The sequence below is a fragment of the Homo sapiens genome, chromosome 10, assembly GCF_000001405.40.
Source record: "Homo sapiens chromosome 10, GRCh38.p14 Primary Assembly".
NCBI lineage: Eukaryota > Metazoa > Chordata > Mammalia > Primates > Hominidae > Homo > Homo sapiens.
In genome coordinates this window covers 79,089,781-79,116,664 of record NC_000010.11, presented here as the reverse complement: position 1 = coordinate 79,116,664, position 26,884 = coordinate 79,089,781, and the positions used below count along the sequence as shown (strand labels likewise).

The 26,884-nt window shown below is 54.4% G+C and overlaps 1 protein-coding gene across 11 annotated transcripts in view, besides 19 other annotated features; it reads right to left on the bottom strand.

Moving 5' to 3' along the window:
• ZMIZ1 (zinc finger MIZ-type containing 1) overlaps positions 1-26,884 on the bottom strand; it is a 247,554-nt gene that overhangs the window by 199,855 nt on the left and 20,815 nt on the right. For 2 of the 11 annotated variants that reach the window (XM_047425538.1, XM_047425539.1), the window contains exon 2: positions 5,905-6,227. The exons of the other annotated variants lie outside the window; for them this stretch is intronic. The gene's annotated coding sequence lies outside the window, so the exon portion shown is untranslated. The remainder of the gene's footprint in view (positions 1-5,904; positions 6,228-26,884) is intronic. 11 annotated transcript variants of the gene reach the window in all.
• Positions 206-255: an enhancer, noted in NCBI's record as "active region_3626". NCBI's record gives its function as "activates an Ori minimal core promoter by ATAC-STARR-seq in GM12878 lymphoblastoid cells {active_cell/tissue: GM12878}" and the evidence as "EXISTENCE:reporter gene assay evidence [ECO:0000049][PMID:35858748]".
• Positions 1,541-2,129: an enhancer, noted in NCBI's record as "H3K4me1 hESC enhancer chr10:80874293-80874881 (GRCh37/hg19 assembly coordinates)". NCBI's record gives its function as "activates a minimal SCP1, AML or CMV promoter by ChIP-STARR-seq in naive H9 embryonic stem cells {active_cell/tissue: H9 hESC(naive)}" and the evidence as "EXISTENCE:reporter gene assay evidence [ECO:0000049][PMID:30033119]".
• Positions 2,130-2,720: an enhancer, noted in NCBI's record as "H3K4me1 hESC enhancer chr10:80873702-80874292 (GRCh37/hg19 assembly coordinates)". NCBI's record gives its function as "activates a minimal SCP1, AML or CMV promoter by ChIP-STARR-seq in naive H9 embryonic stem cells {active_cell/tissue: H9 hESC(naive)}" and the evidence as "EXISTENCE:reporter gene assay evidence [ECO:0000049][PMID:30033119]".
• Positions 2,721-3,310: an enhancer, noted in NCBI's record as "H3K27ac-H3K4me1 hESC enhancer chr10:80873112-80873701 (GRCh37/hg19 assembly coordinates)". NCBI's record gives its function as "activates a minimal SCP1, AML or CMV promoter by ChIP-STARR-seq in naive H9 embryonic stem cells {active_cell/tissue: H9 hESC(naive)}" and the evidence as "EXISTENCE:reporter gene assay evidence [ECO:0000049][PMID:30033119]".
• Positions 3,311-3,901: an enhancer, noted in NCBI's record as "H3K27ac-H3K4me1 hESC enhancer chr10:80872521-80873111 (GRCh37/hg19 assembly coordinates)". NCBI's record gives its function as "activates a minimal SCP1, AML or CMV promoter by ChIP-STARR-seq in naive H9 embryonic stem cells {active_cell/tissue: H9 hESC(naive)}" and the evidence as "EXISTENCE:reporter gene assay evidence [ECO:0000049][PMID:30033119]".
• Positions 4,899-5,193: an enhancer, noted in NCBI's record as "tiled region #10541; HepG2 Activating DNase matched - State 5:Enh". NCBI's record gives its function as "activates a minimal TATA promoter and a strong SV40 promoter by Sharpr-MPRA in HepG2 cells {active_cell/tissue: HepG2}" and the evidence as "EXISTENCE:reporter gene assay evidence [ECO:0000049][PMID:27701403]".
• Positions 4,939-5,083: an enhancer, noted in NCBI's record as "145 bp enhancer 157 fragment used in the MPRA reporter construct; PK_construct_25". NCBI's record gives its function as "activates an SV40 promoter by MPRA in HepG2 cells {active_cell/tissue: HepG2}" and the evidence as "EXISTENCE:reporter gene assay evidence [ECO:0000049][PMID:23512712]".
• Positions 5,005-5,018: a transcriptional cis regulatory region, noted in NCBI's record as "HNF1 motif; MPRA enhancer 157 activity is reduced when this motif is scrambled". NCBI's record gives its function as "necessary for full MPRA enhancer 157 activity {active_cell/tissue: HepG2}" and the evidence as "EXISTENCE:site-directed mutagenesis evidence [ECO:0005528][PMID:23512712]".
• Positions 9,134-9,311: a silencer, noted in NCBI's record as "fragment chr10:80867111-80867288 (GRCh37/hg19 assembly coordinates)". NCBI's record gives its function as "represses an EF-1alpha promoter that drives an FKBP-Casp9 reporter gene in an ReSE screen in HepG2 liver carcinoma cells {active_cell/tissue: HepG2}" and the evidence as "EXISTENCE:reporter gene assay evidence [ECO:0000049][PMID:32094911]".
• Positions 12,802-13,683: an enhancer, noted in NCBI's record as "H3K4me1 hESC enhancer chr10:80862739-80863620 (GRCh37/hg19 assembly coordinates)". NCBI's record gives its function as "activates a minimal SCP1, AML or CMV promoter by ChIP-STARR-seq in naive H9 embryonic stem cells {active_cell/tissue: H9 hESC(naive)}" and the evidence as "EXISTENCE:reporter gene assay evidence [ECO:0000049][PMID:30033119]".
• Positions 13,684-14,567: an enhancer, noted in NCBI's record as "H3K4me1 hESC enhancer chr10:80861855-80862738 (GRCh37/hg19 assembly coordinates)". NCBI's record gives its function as "activates a minimal SCP1, AML or CMV promoter by ChIP-STARR-seq in primed H9 embryonic stem cells {active_cell/tissue: H9 hESC(primed)}" and the evidence as "EXISTENCE:reporter gene assay evidence [ECO:0000049][PMID:30033119]".
• Positions 14,568-15,451: an enhancer, noted in NCBI's record as "H3K4me1 hESC enhancer chr10:80860971-80861854 (GRCh37/hg19 assembly coordinates)". NCBI's record gives its function as "activates a minimal SCP1, AML or CMV promoter by ChIP-STARR-seq in primed H9 embryonic stem cells {active_cell/tissue: H9 hESC(primed)}" and the evidence as "EXISTENCE:reporter gene assay evidence [ECO:0000049][PMID:30033119]".
• Positions 17,682-17,841: an enhancer, noted in NCBI's record as "active region_3625". NCBI's record gives its function as "activates an Ori minimal core promoter by ATAC-STARR-seq in GM12878 lymphoblastoid cells {active_cell/tissue: GM12878}" and the evidence as "EXISTENCE:reporter gene assay evidence [ECO:0000049][PMID:35858748]".
• Positions 19,040-19,611: an enhancer, noted in NCBI's record as "H3K4me1 hESC enhancer chr10:80856811-80857382 (GRCh37/hg19 assembly coordinates)". NCBI's record gives its function as "activates a minimal SCP1, AML or CMV promoter by ChIP-STARR-seq in primed H9 embryonic stem cells {active_cell/tissue: H9 hESC(primed)}" and the evidence as "EXISTENCE:reporter gene assay evidence [ECO:0000049][PMID:30033119]".
• Positions 22,451-22,951: a transcriptional cis regulatory region, noted in NCBI's record as "chr10:80853471-80853971 region (GRCh37/hg19 assembly coordinates) targeted for CRISPR interference". NCBI's record gives its function as "negatively regulates PPIF gene expression in LPS-stimulated THP-1 monocytic cells {active_cell/tissue: THP-1(+LPS for 4hr)}" and the evidence as "EXISTENCE:mutant phenotype evidence [ECO:0000015][PMID:33828297]".
• Positions 22,451-22,980: a biological region, named in NCBI's record as "CRISPRi-FlowFISH-validated PPIF regulatory elements GRCh37_chr10:80853442-80853942 and GRCh37_chr10:80853471-80853971". NCBI's record gives its function as "regulatory_interactions: PPIF".
• Positions 22,477-22,980: a transcriptional cis regulatory region, noted in NCBI's record as "chr10:80853442-80853942 region (GRCh37/hg19 assembly coordinates) targeted for CRISPR interference". NCBI's record gives its function as "negatively regulates PPIF gene expression in THP-1 monocytic cells {active_cell/tissue: THP-1}" and the evidence as "EXISTENCE:mutant phenotype evidence [ECO:0000015][PMID:33828297]".
• Positions 25,352-25,851: an enhancer, noted in NCBI's record as "H3K4me1 hESC enhancer chr10:80850571-80851070 (GRCh37/hg19 assembly coordinates)". NCBI's record gives its function as "activates a minimal SCP1, AML or CMV promoter by ChIP-STARR-seq in naive H9 embryonic stem cells {active_cell/tissue: H9 hESC(naive)}" and the evidence as "EXISTENCE:reporter gene assay evidence [ECO:0000049][PMID:30033119]".
• Positions 25,852-26,353: an enhancer, noted in NCBI's record as "H3K4me1 hESC enhancer chr10:80850069-80850570 (GRCh37/hg19 assembly coordinates)". NCBI's record gives its function as "activates a minimal SCP1, AML or CMV promoter by ChIP-STARR-seq in naive H9 embryonic stem cells {active_cell/tissue: H9 hESC(naive)}" and the evidence as "EXISTENCE:reporter gene assay evidence [ECO:0000049][PMID:30033119]".

Sequence of the window (26,884 nt, the reverse complement as noted above, 5' to 3'; positions counted from 1 at the left end):
AATCTTTCCGTGGCTTTCCACCCAACTGAATCAGGTCAGCCCCGCCCTGGCCAGCCGGCCTCTGTAGCCCATCCCCAGCCCTGCAGGCTCTACCTCACTCTTCTGTGCACCCCCACAGGCTGCATCACACCTCCACCGCAGGATGCCCTTCCCCTTCCTACCATGCTCAAGCCTGCAGTCAGGTGGCACCTTCTCCTGGAGGCCCTCCCTGACCTCCCCAGGCCTTGCCTGGGTGTCCATATTCACACAGTTCTCTCTCTGGGGCTGGGTCTTCCCCAGAGTGTGTAAGTCTCTCTTCTGCCTCTGCAGCTCTCGGAGTTCTCCAAGCAGAAGCTCTATCAGGGTTGGGTGACACCCCTACTCCTCTTCCCCCAGGGTCGAGACACCCCCAGCCATACTGTGATGGCCAGAGCAGGCTTCAGGGTAGGATGGGGAACTGGGATCTCAAGATAGGTCAGCTGCCAGCACCCAACAGGGCAATTCTCTCCTGGGGACCCAGGCTTCTCCCACAGAGATGGAGGGTGGGGCTGAATCCGGGGGTGCAGTAAGGGGCTACAGAGTGCAGGGCTTACGGGGGGATTATACTCCCCATTTCACAGTAAGCCATGATGCCCAGTAAATGTGCACCACTCCTTCCCTCTTAATTATCTATTAAAACAAAATTGCAAGACCCATGGCCGTAGTATAATGCTACACCCTCTGGCAAAACAATGGAAACTGCTAGGCAGACAGAAGGAAGAGTTGTAATGCCAGACAGAGTGGGCATCGGCTCCACCAAAATCCTTCCATGTATTGACTCCATGAATTGTCCATCAGCCCTGAGTGACTGAGAAGGCGGAAGCCCTCCCCCATCCAACCTCAGGTGAGTGACTGGCTGGGGCCTCAGCTGATCCCTAAAGCCAGGGCCTTGGCCTGGCCACCCCTCTAAGGGCCTCTCGCCCCCACATTTGCAGCTCCAGCTCTGTCCTAAATAGATATGTGGTCTCTGGGGAAACCCCTCAGCCCTCAGTTCCCCCCAGTGTCATCTAAGAGCTATGGCTGACACAACGATCTCTGATGAGCCAGTTTTCTCTCTCGTGGGAGGAATGGAATCCCTGACAGGCCAAGGCAGTGCTGAGGCCCACCATCTTTCTGCCTTCCTCAGGGTCTCCACTGTACCAGCGATGATGCTTACCAGCAATAGGATGATGCAGCCACCTCACACACTACAGACAGGCCACAGCACCTGTCACCTTCCTGCCTTCTACCTCCAGGACCCTTTGCTAAGAGAGGAAGCTCCTTACCCAGCAGAGAGGCCCAAACAAGCCAAAAAGTGGCAAGGCTGGGAGAGGGAAAGACATCAGATCCCAGGAAACACGGTCTGTCCTGTAGCAGAGAGAACTCCAAGCCCACAAGGGCAGCTGGGTAGGTCACAGCCTAACATCAGAAGCAACTCTAGACTAGAGTATGCCTTCCACAAGTGGGTCTGCTACCTTGGGAGGTGGTGAGTACCTCATTCCCAGAGGCATGCAAGCAGAAGGGAGCTGCCACGTGGTGCTGTGGGTGCTGTAAGCACCAGAACAGAGCTGGACTCTATAGTTCCCAAACTCCTCTGCTAAGAATCACCTGGGCTGATTGTTAAACCCACAACTTCCCAGGCCTTTCCCCTGGGAGTGGAAGTCTATGGGTCTGGAACACAGCCCAGAAATTTAAATTTTTAGCAAGTCCTCCCAGGTGATGCTCTGCATCTGGAAAGTTTGGGGGAGCACTGGCAGATGACCCTCCAGGTCCCTCTGAGTCCCTCACTCCACTCCACCACCCACACCCCACCTGGAAGACACCACCCGGGCAGCAGCCTTACTGCGTCGTTAAAATAAAAGTGATTTAGAAGCTTTAAGAGGGGGCAAAGATGTCAGGGGGAGGGGAGATTCTCAGCCCGTGGTGATACTGGTGGCAGCTCCTTCCTAGCCCCCCTGGGCCCCCCAGAGCCATCCAGAAAAAAAGCTTAGCATTTGTGGAGGGGGGTGCTGACAGCTGTTCAGCTGCTGCTCAGTGAGGCCCCGGAAAAGCAATTATCTTGCTCTTAGCAGAGAGGAGCTGGCTTTTACCCGCCCCTTCCCTCCCTCCCTTCTCCCTCCCACCTTCACACACACACACACACACACACACACACACACACGCACACACACACGCACACACACACACACAGACACACACACACATACACACCCAGGCCAAGATGCTGTGGCTGGCTCTGAACCCGCCTTCCCCCACTCCCAGCCTCCAGATTTCTCCGACTCACTCAACCTCCATCCTCAGAGCACATTTCCAACACTTAAATCATTTAGCCCGCTAAACCGGAGACGGCGAAATGGGTGCTATTTCTTAAAAACATACAGAGAGCGTATTAAATTATTGATAGCCATTAAACAGGGGGAAAAAATTAAACAGCTCTCAGCTCTTATCAATCATTCATGCAGTTTCCACTGGGGTGTTTTCTGGAGAGTGATCACTCCGGCAACCTGGGGAGCCAGCTCCTGCCGGGCAGGGAAGTCTGCCGCTGGATAGAAATGGAGGGGGCCACCCCAGTCCCCAGCAGTCAGAGGGGCAGCACTGCCCTCAGAGGGGATCGGGGGTAGGAGTCCGGCAGGCAAGTCAGCCTCTCTCCATTTGCAAACTCCCGCCTCCTCTTCACCACACCATTAACAAAGGGAGACTCCAGCACCGCCTTCAGGAACCCCCTTAATTAAATCCAGCCTGCTTTTATTGAGCTGATACTACACATCAGGCCTGTAGGACCCACAAAGAAAAAAGCCTCAAGGCACCTACACAGGTGAACGGGCTCCAAACGTGAATATACTACACTGTGATAGGAGCCATCAATGGAGAGGGGGCTCAGAGGAAAGGGGGGCAGCCTTGGCCAGAGTAGGGGTGCCAGGGAAGCCTTCACCAAAAAAGTCATTCTTGTGTAAATTCTTGGAGGGGGAGCAGAAAATCACACAGACAACGAGTTGGAAAGGGCATTCTAGAAAAAGGGAATAGAATAACTCAGGCAAAAGCACAGCATAGCGTGGTGCCTGTGTCTCAGCACCCACCCTGCCAACAACAGCCTGTGGGGTGGGGGCCTGGGCACATAAAGTGGAGTGTGGAGCAGGCTGGAACTTCAGCCTCTCCTCCAGGCACCAGTCACATTCAGGCCAGGCCAGGGGAAGGAAGCACAAGGCCAGGACCCTCCAGGTGTGGACGGGCAGGAGGTTGGGGTTCACCCTAGCTGCCCGGGCAGCAGCACCTCCACCCCCGCATGGCAGATCCATTTCCTGGCTCTGACTCAGGACACCTAAGCCAGTATGACGCAGACCATGGAGGCTGCAGGCCCAGGATGCTGCCGGTCTCTCGGCCACAGACAGTCCTGGCAGAGCTGCTCAGAAGACAGGCTCCCTCCTGCCACTGAGCCATGCCAAGGACCTCGGCACCAGAGCTGTGGGAGCCAGCAGACATCTGATACCACCCAGCCTCGCTGCATGGGGACCATCCACAACCAGAGGCCACCTGAGGCTCCGAAGGCAGGCCAGGCTGCTGCGGGGAACAAAGAGGCTAGGCCTGTCCTTGCCCTGGTACACAGGGCAAGCTCTGCATGCTGAAAGCTGTTGAGAAGCCCTCACTTGCTGCCTTGCTCAAGAGCCCAGGAGCTCAGGAGCTCACGATCTCAGGAGCTGGGAGCCAGGAGCCAGGAGGAGGCCCTGCCAAGTGTTGATAGCACCCTCGCCAGAGAAAGCTGCTGTCACAGGGAAACATTCTGGGGAGTGTGGTTGTTTACCACCAACGCCTGGGACCGTCAAGAAATAATCAGAAGAAATTAAATTTGCTAAGTTGTGAAAGATATAAAGGAACCCTCCCTCCCCAAATGCCCAGACATTTTGACATGGACAATCAGGCTGCTCTATTTTGCCTGGTTTCGGGGAAATGTCCTTAGATCTGCAGGAACGGGTGGGTGGTGGGATATATGTGCAATCAGCCAGGATTGGGAGACTGGGCCCTGAGTTCTGCCTGGGCTCTGCCATCAACCTTCCCCTCTCTGGGCCTCGTCTGCTCCCCTCCTCTGTACAAGGACAGATACACATTCCAGGCCCCTTCAGCCATGCTGATATTACAGGGCAGAAGTGGTTTCCAGGCGGCGTGTCCACAGAGCCTGCCAGGAACATGGGGTTCCTGAAGCCTACCCCAACACCTCTGCTACGCTCACCCAAGGACTTTCGGTGATGGAGCCGAGTGGGTCTGAAGTCATCAGCCATTCCCCTGCTCCTGCACACACCCATGCTCCCACCTGAATTGCTACATGTAACCCCCTCCCTTTAGTTCAGCCTCCACACAGGTGCAGGACCCGTGCAGAGCGTGGGTCCGACCTGGCACAGAGCAGGCTGTCAAGGAAGGTCTGCTGACCAGCAGAATCAAGACAGGGATGGGCAAGCGACCCTACAACCCAAATCAAACACACCTGTCCCCTACTCAGGTACCAGCCCTGACTCCCCACTGCCAGCACGTCCCACTGCCAAATCTTCAAGTCCTGAGAGTCCTTCACTTGGGAGTTGTGTCCACACTTCTAGAAGTCTCTCACACCCTCTACACTCCAGCCACACCACAATCACTCAGCGTTCCCTGGATGTTCATGCCCCAGGGCCTTTGCCTATGCCATTACTTTTTTAGCCCAACCAAGTCCTACTCTGGGTCAAGCTGTAGCTCCCAATTTGTAACTGTCACAACACTTTACACTAGACTGAATTCTATTCACATTTGTTCCAAACACTCAAACAAACCACCCCAGCTCCCAGCCTATAGCCCCCGATCAGCTTTTCCTAATGGCTAACCTACATCACACCTGCTGTAATTTTAAAAACCATTCCCTGGATAGTGGGTGAGACGTTCTCAGCCAAGTGTAAGTGAGACTGTATTCTTGGAGCTCCCTAAGGTGAGGGAAGGGGCAAGCTTGGGAATTTCCAGGCAAAGCCAGCAGAAAATTGGCCACAAATGAATCATTAACTCTTGAGTCAAGATCTCCGAGTAGCTGGTGCCAAGGTCTCAGGCTCTGGCCTGTGTGGGCCCACTTGGTTTCCCTTGGCTCAGGCCTGAGGGTGCGCCTCCCCCGTCACCCACACCCCCTGGCCATCTGCTTCACCCCACAGCCACTAGCCATCGAGAGGAAAGACTCTGCTCTTTGGTCCAGGGCAGGCCAAACTTCTTATGGGAGAGGGTACACCTTTCCCCGGGAATGATTCCAAACTTTTGCCCACACACTTCTGTCCTTCTGGAATGCCATCCCTTCCAGTGAGCTAAATCCTCTTTGTCCTTCAAGGACTGGCTCCAGCCTGGCCTGCCTCCTCCCTTGCCTGCCCACCTGGGCCCCATGACCTCCGAGCCCCTGCAGACCCGGCTGTGTCTACCAACTGTCTCCTCCCTGCCCTGGCCTGGGTGCCAGGGCCTCGTTTCTTCAGTAAAGCCCCTGCTAGGATGGGGACATTGCATCCTCTACTGGACCCTAACAGCTATCATTAAGTTGGGCACAGACTGGGAAGCCCACAGGTGATGGGGACTGCTCATGGGCTCTATGCACAGGGGCCCCGGTGGTGGTCAGCCCAGGAGCTGGGCAAGGGGAGCAAGTAGATTGGCAGCCATCTGCATAACTGTGCAAGGAGTCCCTCGGTGCCAGTGGCCACCCCATCTGGAAGCACAGGTGAGTGCATGACAGATGATGTATTGATATCACACTGGGATACCTGTTAATGAGGTATCATCTGTGCTTCCAGACTTCAGGTCCATTGGTCATGAAGTTCATGAGTTCAAGCCCTTCCTCCAGGCAGCTTAGAGGAACTATGGTGAAAATGGAAGCCCCAGACTGCAGTGCTTGGCAGTGGGGGCCTCAGTCCTCACCTGGCTCAGGCAAGACATCATGTTCCCCTGTGGGCCTTCTTTCAGAGCCTCTGAGCCAGCTGTGGTGCAGCCACCATATGGTTCAGAAGAGACAGGGGTAAATGTAACCACTGGCTTCCCATTGTGGGGCTGGGTGGCTGCAGAGGGCACAGCATTCAGAGTCCCAGGAGCCAGCTCCTTTGTAGTCGGCCAACATCAGTACCAACTACCTCCTTCCCCAGGGCACCTCTTGCAGGCTGAGGCTTCCAGTTTCAGCATGGCCCTCTCAGTTCCCTGGAAGAAAAGCTTGAACTCTTCTTCGGTGGGACGGATGGACATCAAGTCTGGAAACACAGATTAAACCTCATTAATAGGTATCCTAGTGTGGTATTAATGCACCATCCGCCATGCATTCACCTGTCCTTCCAGACCGAGTGGCCACCGGTATCGCAATAAGGCCAAAAACAAGAATAACAAATACCGCTGATTTGAGCAGCTGCTTTGTGTCAAGCTCTGTGCTAAGCTCCACACTCATTTCTCCTGAATTCTCCCAACATGCCAGGAGATGGATACTACTACGAACATGCCTGCTGGAAAGATGAGGAATCTAAGGATAATAGAGATGCAGATGAGGATGAAGTAACCTTCCCACATCCCAAGGCCAGAGGGTGGCAGCATGGGGGTTTGGATGCAGGCATCTGGCCCAGGCCATGCATGCCACCCCCAAGTGCCTAGCACCCCTCATCTCCTTTGCTCACAGCTGGAACAAGTCCTATGGGTACCACCCTGCAGCCTTCACTGAACCTTTTTCTCATCTGACCTTCAAAACACTCCATGAGACCACTGGTGAGGGTCATTATTGCCATCTTACAGATGGGGAGACTGAGGTCTGCTGGGGGAAGGAACTTGACTTCTCTAGCAGTTTCTGCACCCCTTTTGTCCTCACAATAACCCCATGAGGTGGCCATTGCTAAGACCATTTTGCAGGTGGGAAAACAGTGATGATGGGAGAGGCAGAGGGGCTGTCTAGGGCCACATGCTGGCAACAGAGCCTGGGTTTGTGCACCTGGCTGCCTGACTCTTGACTGGGCTTCTCCCACGACCCGGGGCTGTCCTCAAGGTCTGGCACAGAATATGGGCGAGTGCATAGGCATGGTGGGGAGAAACAAAGGGTGGATCAGGAACCCAGTGTGGGGGCCTGGGAGTGGGCACCACATCCCTCCCTCCCAGCCTCCCCTCTCCAGCACCATCCATATGGAGGTGGGGTGGAGATGCTGAGGACAGATGAGGCTACCTCCCCAGTTCCTTCAGGACTCCTGGACTGGGGCACTCTATACTCATTTACGATGACAGAGAGTCTTATCCATGAGCCTAATGATCAGGCGGGGGCAGCCCAGCCACGCTGGGCACCGGGTGTGTGTTGCACGCAAGGATGTGAGTGTGGACAACACCCATAATGAAAAAGACAGGATGAGGCGGCAGTTGCATGCCCACACATGTGTGCACACAGACCCATGCACACAGGCGCACTTGCACAGAGGCATGTACACCCCTCACCAATGCACATCCACACTGGGACACACACAGGACAGCGAACAGACATCCACCTCCCAGAGCCACGAACAGATCAACACAGAGAGAGGCAGCCCAGAGGACATAGGCACATGGATGCCTGCAGAGTGCAGGCAGACACACACATGTGTGCACCTGGGCACACCTGTGTTCATCTGCGCACAGGCCCAAAGCAGCACACACCTGCGTGCTGGGCTAACACAGTTTATGGGCTGTGGGCAGGGATGTGGACAGCCTCAGGTGCACACAGAGCACGTGGGCCTGGGTGTGCCCACTCAGGCGTGGGTCTGGGTGCATGCATGTGCACATGCATGCACAGGGGCCTCGGTGGTGGTCAGCCCCAGGAGCCAGGCAGGGGAGAAGGTGGGCTTGCAGAATTGTGCAAGAAGCCCCTCACTGCCTCTGTGCTGATGTAGTTAGGCCCGTCCAAAACAGCCCCATAAATCAGGATGCTGCCTGCTGTAAGCATTTATATCACTGTCCCTGGGATGCAGAGCTTAGAACAGAGAAGCAGCCAACCTCAGGCCCTGACCCACGATCTGTGTGTATTAGGGGGTGATGGTTGGTATTTGGCTTTCCTTCTACCCAAGGCCACCTCCCCACCCTTACCCCAATCAGGCCCCCTGTCCTGCTAGCCCAATATGTCCGGCCTCCCTCAGGCCTTTCTTCCCCATCCCACCTTTCTTCCTTCACTCTCAGCCTGAGATCTCAAAGTGCACCATCAGCCTGAGCACCACCCTCCCATCCCCAGTGCTGAAAGCTTCTCCCAGCAATTGGCACCCTAGGACCTAGGTATGGGTGGGTGGGGTGAACAGTCCATTCCCAGACAGTAACACTGCAGGTGGTTATCAGATCTGAGATCTGAGCTGGGGTCCATACCTAGCTCCACCTCGGATGAGTCCCACCACCCCTTCTCCCAGCCTCACTTCCCCTGTCTGTAAAGGGGGACTGGAATGGGACCTCCCAGGGCTGCTCGTCCTGAGGATCTGCTGCCTAGGGAAAAGCTCCTCTGTGGATGCTGATTAATTATGACTATTAATAATACAACCATCTGTATCTCACAGTGGAGCGAGGATGATTAAAACTGGGCCCTGTGCCCCAGTGGCAGAATAAATGGGTCTCCGGGTGGGCTGGGATGTCAACACTAGCCTGGAAGCAGATCACTGGTGACTGTGTTGGGAGGGGCTCTTTATATTGCATAGACAGATGCTGAGAGGAAGGACAGAAAGGCAGGCAGGCAGAAAGAAGGTGGGGAGCTGGCTTACCAGACGATGAACAATAGACAATTACCCCATGCCAGGGCCCTCAGGCAGGACTCTGTGCCTGCCCCTGGGACAAAGCAACTGGGTCTTTTCACCTCTTCTCAACCCCACCTCCACCCTACAGCAGAGCCCAGAAGCTCCAGCTGCTGGAGGTAGTGAGGCGGTAGGCATGAGTGCCATCCTCTGTCCAGAGAAGTTTTGGAGGTTGCTATCTGCCAGGATCAGGCCAGTGCCCTCCCTGCCCCCTGCAAGCCCTGCTCCAAGTAGCGTCCATCAACGGAGGAGCCTTTCTGAATGCCTCCGAGTAGTGTGGGAGCAATGGAGACGGTCCCTCCTCCCACCGCCCGGTGGTGCCCAGTGCACCTCTGACCTCACCCATCCACTTGAACGCTCTTTCGTGGTGAACACATCTGCCTCCCACCTCACATTCACCAGACTGTGAGCAACTCTGATCAATCCACCTCTGTGAACACCACTGGCGGGCCCCACAGAACCCTCACCCTGAGACAGACACTGTTAACCCAGTAATACTCACAAGAGCCCCGTGTGGTGTCTACACCCCTTTTATCAATGAAGAAACTGAGGCACAGAGAGAGAAAGGAACTCACCAAAAGTCACACGGCCAGAAGTAGTTCAAATGCAAAGCATGCTGTTTGACTCCTGAGGTCTAACCCGCTAGGCTACAAAAGCTGACTGAATGAATGAGGCTTAAATAGCAGGATGCAGAAAGTTCTGGGCTTTGTAAGTGGACAGTGAAGTGGCCAGAAGATGGGTATCACAGGTTCAGGCCAGATGTCTGCATTAACTGGCTGTGTGGCCGCAAGCCAGTCACTTGCTCACTCTGGCCTTCAATTTCCTCACCTGAAAAAAGTGAGCAAATGGGGCTGCTCCATCCCCTGGCCAGATGCAAAGGCAATGGAAGAGTGAGTGCTCTGAAAATGATCAAAAAGCATGATCATGAGGGCTATATCCACAGCAGCCAGGACTTCCAAAGCGGAGCCCAAATGCCTGTTCAGGCAGGGGCACTCAAGAACAATAGATGAAGGATCTGAAACCAGGGCTGTCCTAGAAAATCTGGGGCACTCGGCCACCTGCACGATGCCTGTAGTGAGGTAGTGTTACATGGACTGCCGCCAAGCCAGGCCGAACCACCTCTCCAGTCCCATTTGTCGATCATTCTTGGGTCTCATCAACACACTTCCTGGGTACCTACCCCATATCCAGCCCTAGCAGGGAGTGGGTATGGAATGAACAAGAGCTTCCTAAACTCAAGGGCTGAGTGTTGACCCTCCAGGGCCTGCAATGTGGTTGGGGGATGTCCCCTTGCACAACGGGCAAAGACCGGCCAAGGAGCATCTGCTAAGTTCTTATAGGAGCTTCTGGGCTCAATCACCCACTGATCGCCAAGCTGGGTGCTGGCGATGCAATGGGGGCAGGATCTAGCCACAGGCTTGGGGGAGCATATGAGTCACAAATAAAGGCCTGTGTACCCCCAGGCTTCCTTCCCACACCCATGGCAGGCATTACCAATTGGTCCCCATGCTCTCTTACAGAGCTCCTTGTAGCCTCAGAATTGCTATTCTGTATAGCACTCCAGGCTGTCACTCTCAGGCAGAGCATAAGACAAAACCTACAGCACTTGATGTCCCTGTTAGTGGAGCAACTACTACATTCTGCTGGGTTCAGCCACATCTGGGAGAGCTAGGGCCTGGTCTTGGTCTCTGGCCTAGGAGAGAGCAGCCAGATGGTGTCAAGCTTAGACCCTCAGTTTGGGAACTTCAATGGAGAGGCACAGAGGGCCTGGGGGTGGGGGGATTTGGTTTTGCTACAGAATCCCAGCTTCTTGGCCAAGACTCTCCACGAGAGTGGTTTCCTTGGCCCGGATGCCAGAATGGGGCTTTCTGTAGCCCCACCGTCTTAGGGAGTGTGGTGGTCACCTCTGGGTATTGTGCAATTGGAAGACAATTTACCAGAACGTCCCTCCAGCAACCCCTCCCCACTCATTCCTTCTACAAGGGCACAGAAGTTGGTGAGCACTTAGGGGAAGGGCAACCTGGACAGTGTGCAGAGTCCGTCACATTTCCTCCCATCTTCCTGATGTTTGTCATTTCCTTCTGCCATCGAAACTGCCATTAGCTTAATAATCAATTCACAACTTTTGCATAAATACTTTTATTTTTAAAAGAACTTTATATTACTACCTTAAATACAAAATTAGCCTTACTCACCAAGGATAGAAGTTAAACACAAAAACAAATACAAGGAGAACAAACAATGGCACTGTTTTGCTGCCTGCCTGCTGGAGGCTCCGGGTCCTGCAGGTGCTCTCTGTTGAAAAGAGACACCAGCAAGTATCCAGTCACTGGCAGCTGTCCTTGACACAGTCAGAGGGCTAAAGGGGACTAGGGGCGGAGGGGTTTTCTCAGTCCTGATTAACATGAACTCCTGAATGCCAACGGTCACTTTTGTTTACCTTTGAGGAGCAGAAAGAAGCTCAGTTCAGTGGCACTCTCAGGATCGAGGCAGCCTGTAACAGGTCTGTTACACAGAAGAGGCTCAGAGAGGTGGGCCAATGGCCCCAGGTCACACAGCAGTCAGTGGCCAAGCCCGGCTTCCGACCCTGGTCTCTTGCCTAAGCACAAGATCTCTCTTCTCTGCCACCACCTTCTCTATGCCACACGGAGGCACTTAGGCAGAGCAGAGTCGCTGTGACCTGCGGCTGGTGTGGTAGCAGTTTTTACACCCGAGGTTAACAGCTGTGATTTAAGAGGTTATTTGTCTAAATTTTCGGGAATCAGTTTCTCAGGGAGGAGACAACTAACACATTGGGCTCGGGAAGCTAGTCTTTTTAGAAAATATTTATAGCATTTCAAGACAGTTTGGTGGCAATTGGATCTAGCATCTGCTATTTTCCTCACTTTCCACCATGGCTTTAAAACCCATGGCAGTTAAGACACACACACACACACACACACACACACACACACACACACACACCCCACAACAACAACCCAACAACAACAGCAACCACATCAATGCTGATAGGAAATCAAGGCCCATCGTTTCTTTGAGAAACAAAACATGAAGCTGGCATGATTTCAGAAAGCTCATTACTGCCTCTGGTTAAAACCCCAGTGCACCTCCTACTAGCAGTACCTAAGGCTGATGCTCAGAGTGCCGTGGCCAGCGGGCCAGTCCCCAAGGCTACGGTGAGGTTCACGGCCTCCAGAGTTGGGTTTGGCAGGACTCCCAGGCCCAGGGCTGTGGCTCTCACAGGAAGCCCCAACAGCAAAAGAGCCCTCCCCTGAAATTTGGATTCTGGCTACAAACTGGAGAAAGACAGGGAAAGAAGGCAACCTCTGGAAATCAAAGACATCCTACGACCAGGCACTGAGTTGGCCCATCTCTGTACCTTGGTGGGTATTCACCCCTGCAAGCTCAGTGACGTCTATTGTACCCATTTTGCAGATGACAAAACTGAGGCTTTAACAAGCCAGGAGATTATCCTGAGAGCACAATGGCTTATATGGTAATCTGGTCCCTCTGACCCAACCAGGCAGCCTGGTGTTCCCACCTCACCTCCAGTGACCACCCTGCACATGGCTTCTATGCACGCGGACTCTATACTCATCCGCTCCCCAAGATCCTGCAAGGTGACTCCCTAGACCAGCCTCCAGGCCTTTACTCACGCCATGACCCTCTCAATACCAAATCTCCGTCATCGAAAGGCTGTGTTTCACACGGAGACCCTGAAGACCTTCTACTCCATCCTGGGGTCTCAGGTGGGATTCTGAGGCCCAGAGAGGGGAGGGGTCACTACATTGTCTGGTGACCAGATGAAAGTGAACCAGGTCTGCTGTGAAAAATTCCAGAGCATGTTGCTACTCCTGCTGTCCTTCCCATCCCAGTCCAGGCACAGGAGTGGCAGGACTAGTTCATAGTTGCTAGTTCATAGTAAGAAGTCAGCCCAGCTGGGAACAAGGTTGGTAGTGACACCAGGGCTCGCATCCAGCCAATGGCAAATGGTGCTTGAATGACAGACCACCTTCCAACTTGTCCAGCCTTTTGGGCAGAGCCGTGGACCACTCTGCACCTCCACCTACGTCTGCCTCCAAGCCAGGGGACCGGAAGGTCCTCATCCATGATGCAATGGGACAAAACCCCAGGCCAGGCCCCCAGGGAAGCACTCGCCCACACAGCCTGGCTCCGGGCTGGCAAAGAGCCCCAGGGAGGAGGGCTTGCCAGCCTGGGGCCTGGTGTGCCCCATGCAGCTGCTCCCCCAGGGCTCCCCTCTCCACTCCGATGTCAACAGACACCGAAAACCTGTGTCCAGGTTGGCATCACCCCTTGCCCTCCCTCCCCTAGATCCTGTTCTCCCTCCGCCCTCCTTTTGGATCAAATGCCCTCTCCACCCCCACCCACCCAGGCATCAAATCCAAAAGTCAAGGAACCATCCTGGTTTCTGACGCTCCCCCTCAACCAAGCCATCTGCCATTTCCACCGTTCACCCTCCCCGCGTGCGGATCTGCCCACTCCTCGCCAGCTCCTTTGCCTGGGTGGGGGCAACAGCCCCTCCTTGGCCTCCCACTCTCACTTCCTTCCTGCTCTTCCTTACAGCTGTAAAGCTTTTCCTGTTTACAGCCCCCCACCCCAGGCATCCCCACGGCCCTCGAGCCCCGTGCAGCTGGCTCTGCTCGCTCCCCCTCACGGTTTCCCCATGTCCTCAGTTCTCGGGCACCAAGCATATTCCTACCCCTGGGCCTTTGCACCTGCTGTTCCCGCTCACCACCTCCTCCACCTACAGTGGCTGGCTGTTTTACAGTTTCTCAAGGGGTCCTCCCAGACTGCCCTCATCTAAAATACATGCCGCCTCCCCCACCCCAGCCGCTCCGTAACACATCGCTCGACATTACTACTGTACTGCACGTACTACGAGCTGATTACTGTCCTTCTGTGTTCCCCAGCCCTGCTCAATGATGTTAGCCCCAGGAGGGTCAGCACCTCCTCAAGCTGGTTTCCTGCTTTCTATCCAATGTTTAGATCACTGGCTGGCATAAAACTAACATTTAATAAGTGTTGGTTGAATGAACAAGTGAGTGAACAGCTACGATTCTGTCAGCTCACCATCACCCCCTCAACTCCCTGCCAGCCAGGTTGGGAATGATCCCACTTCTCAGATGAGGGCACTGAGCCGCGGAGAGGTGCTATGTGGGCCTGGTAGCCTACGGCAGCAAAGCAGCAGCAAGGCCGCCTGGTGCTAGGCCAGCACTGCTTCCCAGGTGGCGCCTGGGACTCGCCTCCAGCCAGACCAGGGAAGGGACCAGGATTAGGGAGTAAGAACCCATGGAAAAGTCATGAAATTGGGTGGCTCCAATATTTCTGTTGCAACTTGAAATGCTGCCTCTTTGAAAACCACATCCTGTCCCCCCTCAGCTCCTGGCCCTGGGCAGCCTTGCTGAGACCCCCACACACACCCATTTCTTTCTCTCCCTGGATCCTGGAATTCACTGGCCCAGCCCTGAGGCTGATGGAGCAGAGGGCGGGGCAAAGGAGGCCTTCTCTCCCGGGTGGGGCAGAAGGAGGGGGCTGAGCCAGATTCAGGTCACGCTGCTGCGCCCACAGCCCTCTGAAGGCTAAAAATAACCGTGTTTATACACTTCCAGAGCCGGGATTTCTGCCTCCCTGTGAGAGGGGCTACAGGCTGCGTTCCCCACTGCACGCCTTCTGCTCCAACTGGGCGAGGCCTGGTCCAACAGGCTGGGACCTGGCTTTCTGGGTTTGTTCCCTTGGGTTGTTTGTAGGTGGAGGGAGGTGAGGAAAAGCTGAACAAGCTGGTGACTCCAGATGGGAAGAGCTTATTGCTAGGGGACAGCTCTTCCTCCTTGAGAGCAGGAGCCAGAGTTACAGAGAAGGTGGAGAGATCCTGACCCACGTGAGGTCCCTGGTGCCATGGGGAGGCTGGGAGCTGGTCGGAGGTCCCACTTGCCGTGTGACCTGGAGCTGGCCACTCCTGCTCTATCTGGTCCTCAGCTGCCTCCCTGCATTGTGGCAGCTGATGGTAATTGACAGCTGCTCCTCACATCACATCCTCAGAGAGGGGAGGGACAACGGTGGAATCTCAGTGTGTGTGTTTATGGTCGGGGACAGTGTGAGAAACAGCTCCAGCCCCTGAGGCCCCACGGCTGTCTTCATGGCAGATGATGGAACGCACCTGCCAGGACGGCCGTCACCTGGCCACCCGCCTCCCTCCCTCCCTGCCCTGGTTCACCCAGATGGAGGCAGGTGCCAGTTGCCTACCTAGAGACTACCCCTCCCTCTGCACAAGTAGGCCCTCCCCTGACCCCACGGGTCCTGTGAACGTGGCCGTGCCAATAAGATACACCAAGGCCACCAGACATCCACTGGGCCAAGGACCTCACACATTCCAGGATCCAGTAGCCCTGGCCTTTCTTCTCTGACTTGAGAGAAGAAAGCCTGGCTGACTTGCTGCCCCTAGACAGGAACAAAGTCCATCCCTGCTGGCCTGGCTTCAAGAGCTGTGCCCCTCTGACAGCATCCCCCCAGCACTCTGAGCCTTTGCATATGCTGTTCCCTCTGCCTCAGATGTTTTTCCCTCACTTCCAGACTAGGAACTTCCCCCTCATCCTAGAGGACTTACTCAGTTGCCCCCTTCACCAGCACAGTGAGCTCAGCCCTTTGCCTGTGCTGAGAACCCCTTCCATTAGACAATCAGTAGCATCCCCAGTGCCAAGATCTTGCCTTCCTCACACCTACTGCAAAGAGCTTCAACTGTATGCTGAATTACTCATCAAGGGGAGAGCTTGGTCCTCCTCTCTCCTTGCTGCAGCCAAGTCCACACCCTGCAGCCCCTCTGTGGACCCCTTCAAGATTCGGCAGTCTGCAATCAGCTCCACCCTCTTCCTTCAAAGGCTCCTGTTCTCTAGGGACCCGACCTTTGTGCTCCTCATCAGACCTGCAGTTTTCAGCCAGGTTTCTAAATGCACCTGGCCCAGCTGTGCTGGGGTGAGAACAGCATCTGCACGTTTAGCAGGCACCCAGGGATGCTGTGTGCAAAAGCCCTGAGGGCCAAGGGCACCCTCACGGCACTTGGAAATCACTCCCTTCAGATACCACAGCACCCAGTGCCCCCGATGACCACCATCCTCACCCCCTACCAGCCACATGATATCTGCAGCACTGTTTGGCCCATACCCAGGCCCCTGCCAGCAATGAGCCTCATGCCCTCTCTCCTGGAACGCAGCAGGGATCATGGGACCCCTGTGAGAACATCCTCCAAGCAGCCACTGCAGCTACTGGTCTGCAAATCAGATCTGAGGACAGCACTCTTCACCCCACAATGTTTCCTTGTTGACCCTGAGTCAAGGATAAACTCCATTCGGCATTCAAGGCCCTCTGGGATGTGATCAGGCCCCCACTGAGCTCCCAGGCTTTGCCTCCCACCCACCCAGGCCTGATAACCTCACCTGCCCTCTTTTTTTTTTTTTTTTTTCAGAGATGGTGTCTATGTTGCCCAGGATGTTCTTGAATTCCTGGGCTCTAGCAATTCTCCCACCTTGACCTCCCAAAGTGCTGGATTACAGGCATAAGCCACCATGCCCAGCCCTCACCTGCCTCTTTCTGCTGAGCATTCCCCAACTCATCCTTTGGGCTGAAGCACAAAGGCCACCTCCTCTGGGAGGCCCTCCTTGAATGCCCTCCCCTAGTAGGCTGACCTGAACCTGTCCCCCTGGGGCTCCCCTCAGCAGGGCTCTTGTTCACAGCCACCAGCCCCTCATGCTACAGGTAGTACATGCCCAGTCTTGTTCCCTAGTGAGGCTCTAAACTCCTGGGGTTGGGCCAGGACCAGTCATCCAGGGCCTAGCATTCAACAAGAGATGTGCTCTGAGCATCAGGGTGTGTGGTCCATTACACCCCAGGTCAGGTGGGCATGAGGACCTGCACTGTGGTGATAAGTGACATTCAGAGTGGCTGGAGACTTGTTCGGGTCATACAAGCAGTAGTGATGGGAACCACACCGGTTAGGACCATGTCAGCACCGTGCTCCTACCTGCCCCCATAACCAGGACCTCCAGGTGGTAAAAAGAAGACCTACCTGCTTTTTCAAATGCACCTGTAGCTCCTCTCAATGCTTCACCCAGCCCCCGCTCCTCTGGCAGGAAGGGACACTTCCTCCAAGCCCAAGTCACAGGGGGTTTATGGAGAGATGCTTCCCAGGCACATCACCTGGGAAATGCAGGACCAGCTATCCTCCACCACCCAACAAGTGCAGGGACTTGGGCTCCACACTGGGACGTCCCAAGCAGGGCATGGAGGCTCAGGGAGGTTTGAAGGGAGCCGGGGAGGGGATGGGGGCAGACCTGGGCCCAGAGGCCACCGCTCCCTGTTCCCAGTGCAGCACAGGCCCCTCTGTCTTCCACACGCCAGTCTAACAAGATTGCTTCTTCTTTCCTGAGGCCCTGGGGGGCCTTGCAACCCACCTTTTTTAAAGGCAAACACAGATGCAGAACCAGCCAGGAGTACATCCTGGTGTTGTGTGGAGCCATGGGGAGGGGGAAGGACCTTTTCAAAGGCAGCCTGGGGAAGGGCCAGGAGCACCCCTGCTCATGGGAGCATGGGGTCCCTGTGCCCAGGGCACTCTCAAGGAGCGCTGGTATCCAGCACCAGCACACCGACTCCCGGGGCCTCACGGTGGGTCCCCAGCAGGTGCACCACAGTGATAGCTGCATCAGAATGTGCGCACACCCAAGTCACCCCCACAGCCTAGGGACCCTCCGCTCTGGTTTGCAGACACTGTGGTGCTCTAGGGTGGGTGGGTGTCGAGGAGGGGGTGCAGGCCTTGCTGGGTCTCAGGACCTGCTCTCAAGCAGATGAGCTGGGAACATTGAAATTCTGACTCACTTCTGGAATCTGCCGCCAACATGGTTCCCATTTGGCTCCTCTGCTACTCAAAGCCACTTCCAGCCTCCAGGGGCCAATGCAGACGTCTGCACCACAGTCAAGTCCCCAGTCTCAGAAGTTCTCCAGCTCCAGAGGGCTACTGACAAATGAAGCCTGAGCTGACTCACTGCCCACCCAATCTCCTTGCTAATGACGGTGACCTCACAGGCCTGTCCTCGGTAGGGTGCTGGGCCCCCAGCCGCATGCCACCTCCTCCACCTGGGCACCCAAGGCCCACGCTTCTCAACCGCAGCCTCAGCAGCAGCTTAGAGACGCAGGTTTTGAGATCACCTGCACTCAAATCTCAGTTCTGCTTCTGGGCGGCTGTATGAGTGCGGATGCCCCACTTCAACTCTCTGAATCTCACTGTATGGCTTTCAGGTGACTGGTGGGTTCACTGAGCTCATTATGCAAAAGTAATGCCAATTACTTATCAGGTGCTTGCAATGGACCAGGCACTCATACAAGTATTAATTCATTTATGCTCGCTAGAGTCCTTCGAGATAGGTGGTCAACTATCACCACCTCCATTTTACAGGTGAGGAAACTGAGGCACAGAGCGGTCGAGTCACTTCCCTGAGGTTGCCCAGCTGCTAAGTGTGGGAGCTAGGATTCGGAGCCTGCCTGTCTAGCTCCAGAGTGCTTGTGCTAACCACCACACTACACTGCCTCCAGGCAGCTTCTGCCTTCTCTCCAATGCCGCTGGGGCCTGGCCTGGCCAAAGTCCTCACTCCCGCATAAACTCCAGGATTCATCATGCTTCAGGGCCTGGGCCCACAGAGCTCCCCAGTCTAATAGTCTCTTCTCCTAGTCTACCTGGCAAGACACTTCCAGGCTAGCTCACACACTGCTTCCATTTTCTCCTGACCCTTAGGTAGGAATGATCATTTGACCATTCCCCACAACCCCAAGCCCCAGACTTCCATCAAGTCCTCCAGAGCCTCCAAAGGCCTCCGAGGGCCCAGTGGCATCTTGAATCCAACAGGGACTCAATCAATGCTTGGAGAGTGCCTGAGTGATCCACAGAGTCAAGTCCAAAGGCTTTGCCCGTCTACGTCTGCCTGAGAAGCCCCTGGTAATGAAGCTGCACAGAAGGGCACCAGTGCTGCTGAGGCCTCTCCAGGAACTCCTCTTCCTCACACTGTTGGGTGGGGGGGTGCAGTTAGCATCCAAGCAGCCCACAGAGAGGTGCCATGAAGACCACATATGCTGTGAGCACAAAAGCCCAAAGTGACAGAAATTGATAAAAACTTCACTGCGCCACTGACACCCCATATATCAAAGGCCCCAAATCTCATTCTCTGCTTGCCTCCAATTTCTATCAGAGCTTGCCAGCTGCACATTTATTGAGAAGTTTGTGATCTGACAGGCACTGTATTACCAACATTAATGATGCATCAGTCTCTAGAATTACTGGGGAAACAGTCCAATTGATTTTATTATTATCTCGAGTTCGTCACATTGCATTCCAGGCAGCTTGCTACTAGTTTTGAGCAAGGCCCAAAGTAAATAAACAAAGGTTGCAGGGCCAGGGCTGACCCTAGGCGGAAGAACCTGGGCTTGTCCGGGGACCCCTGGTGACAGCCCTTGCACCCCTCAGCCTCCTCTGCCCTCTATGACAGCAGGATGGTCACTGAAATAGCAGGTGATATTCAGTGGCAGACAGCCAAGCCAGGGGACCAGTTAAGGGCTCAGGCCAGGCCTCCCTTCATGCTGCAAAGATGGAGGTGGCCGGTGGGAGGCAGAAATAGCCAGTGATGTCATGTGTCATGTGCCTCTTGGCTGAGGCAGGGAGCCAGCACCATGTGGGACCCCCCAGCAGATACAGGCATGTCCACACCTGAGCCCATGCCCACAGCAGGCTGGCAGCACTGCTGGCGACCCGGGGGCAAGTGGAGCTGGAAGATATGCATGGTGCCCACCGTGTTTCAGCTGCTCTGCCCCTGCCGGTCATCCCCGAGCCACATGGGACCCCTCTCTGTCTCTAGCCTTTGCACACGCTGTTTCCTCTGCCTGTGTGCTCTCTTTTCCCACCCCATCATCTCACGGCCCTCCTCAGAAAGGCCTTCCTGTCTCAAGGCCCCCACACTCACCTCTGGGTGGTTTTCTATTCAGCACCCTGTTTGTTTCTTTCTTGGTGCTTATCATAATTTATAAAGGTGTCCTTGATTGTGATTGTCTTGTTTACCTGGTTTCTCTCTTTGGCTCCCAGCAGACAGGGATCTTATCTGTTCTGGCCATTGTCCTATTCCCAGAGCCTAGCAGGGGGCTGGCACCCAGCAGGCCCCCACATCCAGGTCTGAAAGCAGGCATTGACTGAAGGAGCCAGTCTCTATCAACCCCTCAAGGCAGCGTTTCGGGTCAAGAAGCACTCAAGAAAACGGCCAATGGTTTCAGAGCCCTTCCCACCCCTCACCTCCACGTGCTGGAGGTTCTTTGAAGCCGTCTCATTTCTTTTCTTTTCTTTTCTTTTCTTTTGAGACGGAGTCTCACTCTGTCGCCCAGGCTGGAGTGCAGTGGCGCAATCTCGGCTCACTGCAAGCTCCGCCTCCCGGGTTCACGCCATTCTCCTGCCTCAGCCTCCCTAGTAGCTGGGACCACAGGTGCCCACCACCACACCTGGCTAATTTTTTTGTATTTTTTAGTAGAGACAGGGTTTCACCGTGTTAGCCAGGATGGTCTCGATCTCCTGACCTTGTGATCCGCCTGTCTCGGCCTCCCAAAGTGCTGGTATTACAGGCGTGAGCCACCGTGCCCAGCCTAGACATCTCATTTCTAACTCCTTGTGCAAACATTTGTCCTTCTGGGCTCATCTCCTCCCCCTCTCCTCCAGACCCACCCTCTACATTCAGCTTCCTTTCTCCAGCAACCTTCAGAGGCAGCAAGGCTGGTGGAAGCTGAGGACCTGTGTCAGGCCAGGAGCCAGGTCCAAATCCCAGCCCCGCAACTGAAGCAAAGCATGTAACTGTCCTAAGTTCTGCTCAATTACCTCCCCTATAAAACAGAGGGGAGAGGCCTGTGGCCCCACCTGCCTCACGGGGATCTGCAGGTTCAGCAACAGAGGAGACATCCCTAGATGGCCACACGTAGTACACACAAGGTGCCTTTAGCGCTGCTGTCTGCTGGTGCTTCAAACTGACCACCAGGACACAGATGCAGGGACCCCAGCAGCCCCAAGATGTGGATCTGAGAAAGGCTTAGAACAATGAAGTCTGGCCTCTGAGGAAGAAATTGATTGCACCCTGAAGATTAACCGGGAGCCACACGGGGTGCGGGGGTCTGCACGATGTGTCCAGATGAACAGGTACCGAGGGGCCTCCTCACGGTAGCCTTTGTTAGGTGCGTTCCAAGCCCAAGGTAATAGATCAGGCGCCTGGAGAAGATGGGAAGCAGCATAGATCTGCACTCAGAGCAGTCAGGTAAGAAGGATGAGGCCTCCCTTACCTAACCGGAGAGACCTGCCTGACACCCGGAAAGGCCGCATGGCCAGGTGAGAACTGGTTAGGTCAGGAGAATGGGGTTGGCTCTGCACAAGGGTTATTGCCAAAAAGCAAAGGGGTAAAGAAGTGGGCCTGGAAGGGGCGGTCTTCTAACTATCGGTATCATGGTTATTGTTTTTTATAACAGTACTATTGAAATTAAATCAGGAAAATATTTGACTTGATAGCGTTCTGCCCTCAAAACAGATGTTTTTCCCTTGAAATGTATGTTATAGACATGACTGATTTATGAGCATTCACCATGTGGCCAGCCCTATGCTGAGCACTAAGTGTACATGAGCATATTTTGTCTTTCCAACAACCTTAATCGTTCCCACTTTCTACCCATGAAAACTGAGGTCCTGAGAGGAAGTCAAATGCCCAAGGTCCCACAAGTGGAAGACACAGGATATGAACCTAGGCTGGTCTGAGAGTCAGAGCTCCTGTAGCCAGCTGGGCAGGGACAGCCCTCTCTGGTCCAAGGGCCCCAGGCCTCTGATCAGCATCCAGCGCCACTGCTTGCTTGCTTTCTCTCTCTCTCTTTTTTTTTTTTTTTCCAGGAGGGGCAGGGTCTTGCTCTGTCACACAGGCTGGACTGCAGTGGCGCAACTGTGGCTCACTACAGCCTCGACCTCCTGGGCTCAAGCAATCTTCTCATCTCAGCCTCCCCAGTAGCTGGGACTAAAGGTGCACACCACCATGCTCAGCTAGTTTTTGTATTTCTGGTAAAGACAGGGTTTCACTGTGTTGCCCAGGCTAGTCTCGAACTCCTGAGCTCAAGCGATCCGCTCACCTTGGCCTCCCAAAGTGCAGGGATTAGAGGCGTGAGCCACTGTGCACCTGGCCTAGCCCCATTGCTTTCTGAAGAAGACAGTGATGCCCAGCGAGGCCTTGGTCTTGTCCAAAATCACTCTGTCATCCCACAGCAGGGCAGGGACAACGGACAGATACATCTACTGTTGACTTCATCTCACTTCATTCTCAAAATAACCTGGGAAGTAAGCAGTACCCATTTCATGGCCAAGGAATCTGGCTCTAGAAAGCCAAAGTAACCGACAGTGGCAGTGTGCGAGAAGGTTTGAACCCAGGCCGCTGAGCTCTGCAGACTGTCTGGCAGCCTCTATGCAATGACCCCAGTTTCCTGAGATCTGGCTCTGGCTCCAGCTCCCTCCGGGTTGCAGGGAGAGCAGAGGCCGCCTTGGCCCCAGCGTTCGTGGCCTTCTGAGTCGCCCGTGGGCTCTGCACCTGGCATGCAATGCCAGCAGCCTCGGTAAACAGGCCCGGCTGCAGCCGGACTCACCCGGCTCGCTTGTGCCGAGGAAGCCAGGTCGGAGGAAGGGTTCCTTGGCATTTCCAGCAGCAGCGCTCTCTTACTCAATTAGGCCCTTTCTGTCCAAAGGGCAGCTGTGACGTGTGGAACAGGTCTGTGGTGTCAATATGAACCCAGCATTGTACAGCTGGGGACATACAATGCCCTCGGTCGACTGTTTATTTATAAATCCACCCAGTGCTCACTGCGGCCTTTACACTCAGCTCTTTCCCAAAATGCAAATTGGCTTCTTCCTGTAAGTCAAACCGACTTGCTCGAGCTGATAAAAATCATCCCAAACGGGCTCTTTTATCTCCCCAATACACAAAGTCCTCTGCACCCACACCTCCTAGAAAGAGGAAGACTGTCTGTCTGCAGAGTGCTTGCGGCAGGGATGGCCCAGAGAGAGGCCCTGAAGAGGCACGCAAGGGCATGGGAGGGTGTGCATAGGGTAGTGGGAGCCAGGATCTAAACTCACAGGCCTGCATTCAAATCCTGCCTAAAACGCCTTCTGGCTCTGTGGCCCTAATCACTCTGAGCACATCACGTACGCATGTGTGTAAAACTGGGATACAGGCCAGGCGTGGTGGCTCACACCTCTCATCCTAGCACTTTGGGAGGCCAAAGTGGGTGGATCACTTGAGGTCAGGAGTTCAAGACCAGCCTGGCCAACATGGTGAAACCCCATCTCTACTAAAAATACAAAAATTACCCAGGCATGGTGGCAGGCGCCTGTAATCCCAGTTACTCGGGAGGCTGAGGCCGGAGAATCGCTTGAACCCAGGAGGCAGGATTGCAGTGAGCTGAGATCACGCTACTGCACTCCAGCCTGGGCAACAGAGTGAGACTCTGTCTCAAAATAAATAAATAAATAAATAAATAAATAAATAAATAAATAAATAAATAAATAAAATAAAACTGGGGTACAGCAGTCCTTCCCGCGTAGGGTTCTTCAGAACAGTAAATGAGATAATGCACATAAACTGCATGGCACAGTGCAGAGAACCTAAAGCATCCCCTGAATATGTGTGTGTGTGTGTGTGTGTGTGTGTGTGTGTGTGTGTGTTGGGGGTGGGGGGGGTGGTAGAAAGAATAATAATTATCTGAAGCTTGGACCTGCCACTCATTCATTCTCTTGCTGGGTACTCTCTGTACCTCAGTTTCCCCCACTGCTCTTTGAACCCCCAGGAACCTCTCTCCTACTGGCTGGTAGCTCAGCCCCTCAACTGCTTGCATTGTATTCAAACGGCTTTGGGGGTGCTGCTTCCGGTACTGTCTCCTCACTATCTCAAGGGCTCTATTATCAGAAAATCAAAATCTGTTCCAAAAGAAAAAAAACAAAATACACCCATCTTACAGAAAAGCGAGCTACCTGACCACCCCTCTGCCAGCTGGTGTCCAGATTTCAAAGAGCCACGAGCATCACTTAAAGGCACATGCCTTGTGCAAGGCTTGCTGGGAGATATCAGGGATCTGATATGGGTTTGTAACCAAGTAGACTAATCAGGGGCCTCCAGGAGTGGGCAGGAAGTGCAAAGAAATGTCAAATGGGCCTAGAAGTCACCAGAGACCAAGAAGCGTACACAGAAACCTCTTGGCCGAGGTTCCAAGGCTTATAAGGAGGTGTTGCGATGCTACTGTGACAACAGGTATGGGGCTCTGCCCACAGGGGGACACCCCTAGCCGCAGCCCAAGCCTGGGTCTCCTAGCACAACAACAGCCACACTGCGTGCAGCGAGGCTTAGGTTATCAGCACGGATCCATTTATGGAGGAGAACGCCAAGGCCTGGAAGAGGGAGGTGACTGACCCAAGATCACATGGCTTGTTGGTAATGAAACCCAGGTCCTAGGGTCACCCCCAATCTGGAGAACAGAGGGAAGCCAGCAGCCATGAAATGGCCATGCCATGGCAGCCACCAGTTTTCCAGAAGGGGATGAGAACAGGCAATGTCAGTTCACAAAGAACTTCCCCTCCCTGTGTCTCCAGCACTCCTCACAGCAGCAGGCAGACAGGCTGGGTGGAGTTGCAGAATCTCCCCATTTTGCAGGTTGAGGACAGAGGCACAGGAGTAGCCAGACCAAGCCTGCACCCAGATCTTCAGAAGCCCCAGCTGCTGCTGCCACCTCCTCTCCCACTCAGCATGGAGCGGGGCTGGTGGGAACAGCACCAGCCCCTAAGCCCTGCCCCATCCCACCCAGTACAGGGAGCCTGGTTGGTCCTGAAGTACACCTCAGGGACTCCACTCACCTGCCTAATTAATAGGCTCAGGTCTCCTCCAACCCAGGTGGCTCCCTGTCACTAAATCTCCTAAAACACTGCTCTGTCCTCACCCAGTCTGTCACACACCTCTCCCTCCCCACTTCTAGAATAAGTGTTCCCTCCTAACCCTGGCTTCCTTCTGGGGTCCCAGCCATCCCTAGAAACTTGGCCTCTGTTCTTCCCCTAAAGTCCATGGGTGCTGGCTGAGCTGCCCCAGCACCCCCACAGGCACACCTCCCTTCCTTTGGTCATGCCGGTTCCACCGCCCAGAAGTACCTTTCCTCCCGCTCCTTGCCTTGTTCTAGCTAAAGCCTCTCCATCCTCAGTGCAGCCCTTAAATGCCCCCTCCTCCAGGAGGCCCCTCCCCACCGACCACTCTAGCTCATTCTCATCTCACTCCTTGGAACTTATTAGCCGATTTCTCTGAAGCTTTCAGTACTCCTTGCAGCTATTCTGCTGAGTAGCCAAGGTTGTTTCCAATGCAGACTGTGAAACTCCTTGAGGTCAGGGTCTGAGGACTCTTGTTTGGCCATCCTTCTAATGGAGAAATATTGCCTTAGCCTGTGCCGTTATGGCCCCCGTGCTAGGGGATAAGAGACAAGGCTCTGGCTTTGCAGAACAGCTCGAGTCTAGAAATAGGCCAATAAATAGGCAGTTGCCCACATAAATACATATACCTACTTATGTACTCACAAAATTTTAAAATTTTAAGTTAAAAAAAAGAGGCAGCTGCCATTGCACATCATGGTGGCTTGAACAGGGAAAGCAAAGAGGGCTGTGGAAATGAATGTCACCCAGTCCAGCTTCCCCAAAGCACAGGACCCTCCCCTAGAAGATGCTGGAGAAGGTCTCTTGGTAGACTGAAATTGCTGCAAGAGATTAATTCATCTGGGCTCAAGACAGCAGAGGTCTAGGTGGGGAGTGGTGGAAGCAGGACAGGTGAGTGTGAGCCCCCCAAGGCGGGGCCCTCTATTGGCACAGACGGGCAGAGGACAGCCCTGGAACCCCAGCAATAGGGAGGAAGCCCTTGACCTGGCGATGAGGCCAGTGTATCCCGATGGAAAAGGCAGCAAGACCTAAGGCTGTCAAACCCGGCATGGCCCAGCTGGGCAGTCTGGCCCTGGGCACATACATCCCTGGCTTCTCAAAGTGGGCACCCCCCAAACCTCAGCTCCCACAATGCACATCAGCCTTGTGGGTGAGCATCTTTTCACTCTGGTTTTGTGAGCAGGCTGCTCCAGATGGACCCGTGAAAGGAAACGCACCGCTGCACACTGCTGGCTCTTGGCCTAGTAGTCCCAGCCACTATCTGCAACTCTCAACATCTCAGCACATGGCTTCATTGTTCTTGCACCTCAAAGCCTTCTCTGGAGAAGGACACAGATTTCTGGAGAAATAAATAAACGGGATCCCACATGCCAGTAGGGTGACTGTGACCACATTCCCACCTCCAGCTTCCTGTCACCAGTCCCCTACCCCACCAGCCCCACACCCTGAGAGGGGGCAGAAGGTCCTTCTCTCCCTCCAAGTATGTCTCCTCTTCCAAACGGGGTCTCCTTGTGGGTCTTGAGCAATCTTGCCACAGCCACAGGGGGCCTCCAGGTCCCCATGGGGGATGAGAAAAAAAACCCTCCAAGTCCCATGCCCAGGCTCGGTTGCTTTCAGCAACTTCCCTCCCCACTGCTCAGGGGCACCACAAAACACTAAGCACCCCAGGCACTGCACCTGGGAGTCCCTCCCTCTCCAGGGATTGTTTTCCCACCTGTAAAATGGGGCAGCTAAACTCAATGACAGCAAGCTGTCTCCTGGGTCCCCACTTACATTCTAACTGAGCCTTAAGACACAGCAGTAGGGTCATTCAGAAGGGAGGTGAGGGAAAGAAGGCAGGATGAGGGAGAGGTGGGGTTGTCCCTGGTTGCAGAAGCCTTAAAAGCTGGTAAAAGGCTTAATCCTGCATAATGATTTACAAAGTGACAAGTAAAATAGATTTACCGTGACAGCTTGAAAGGAGAGCCACAGAAATAAAATTACACTCCGGCGCATCCCGTCTCTCTACAACCTGTCCCCTCCCTTCCGAAAGCCAGGAGCTTGTAAGGGCACACATGGACATGTGCCTGGGTAAAAAGGGAGCAGGTGGCCTGAGGGGTAGGGGGTGGGGGTC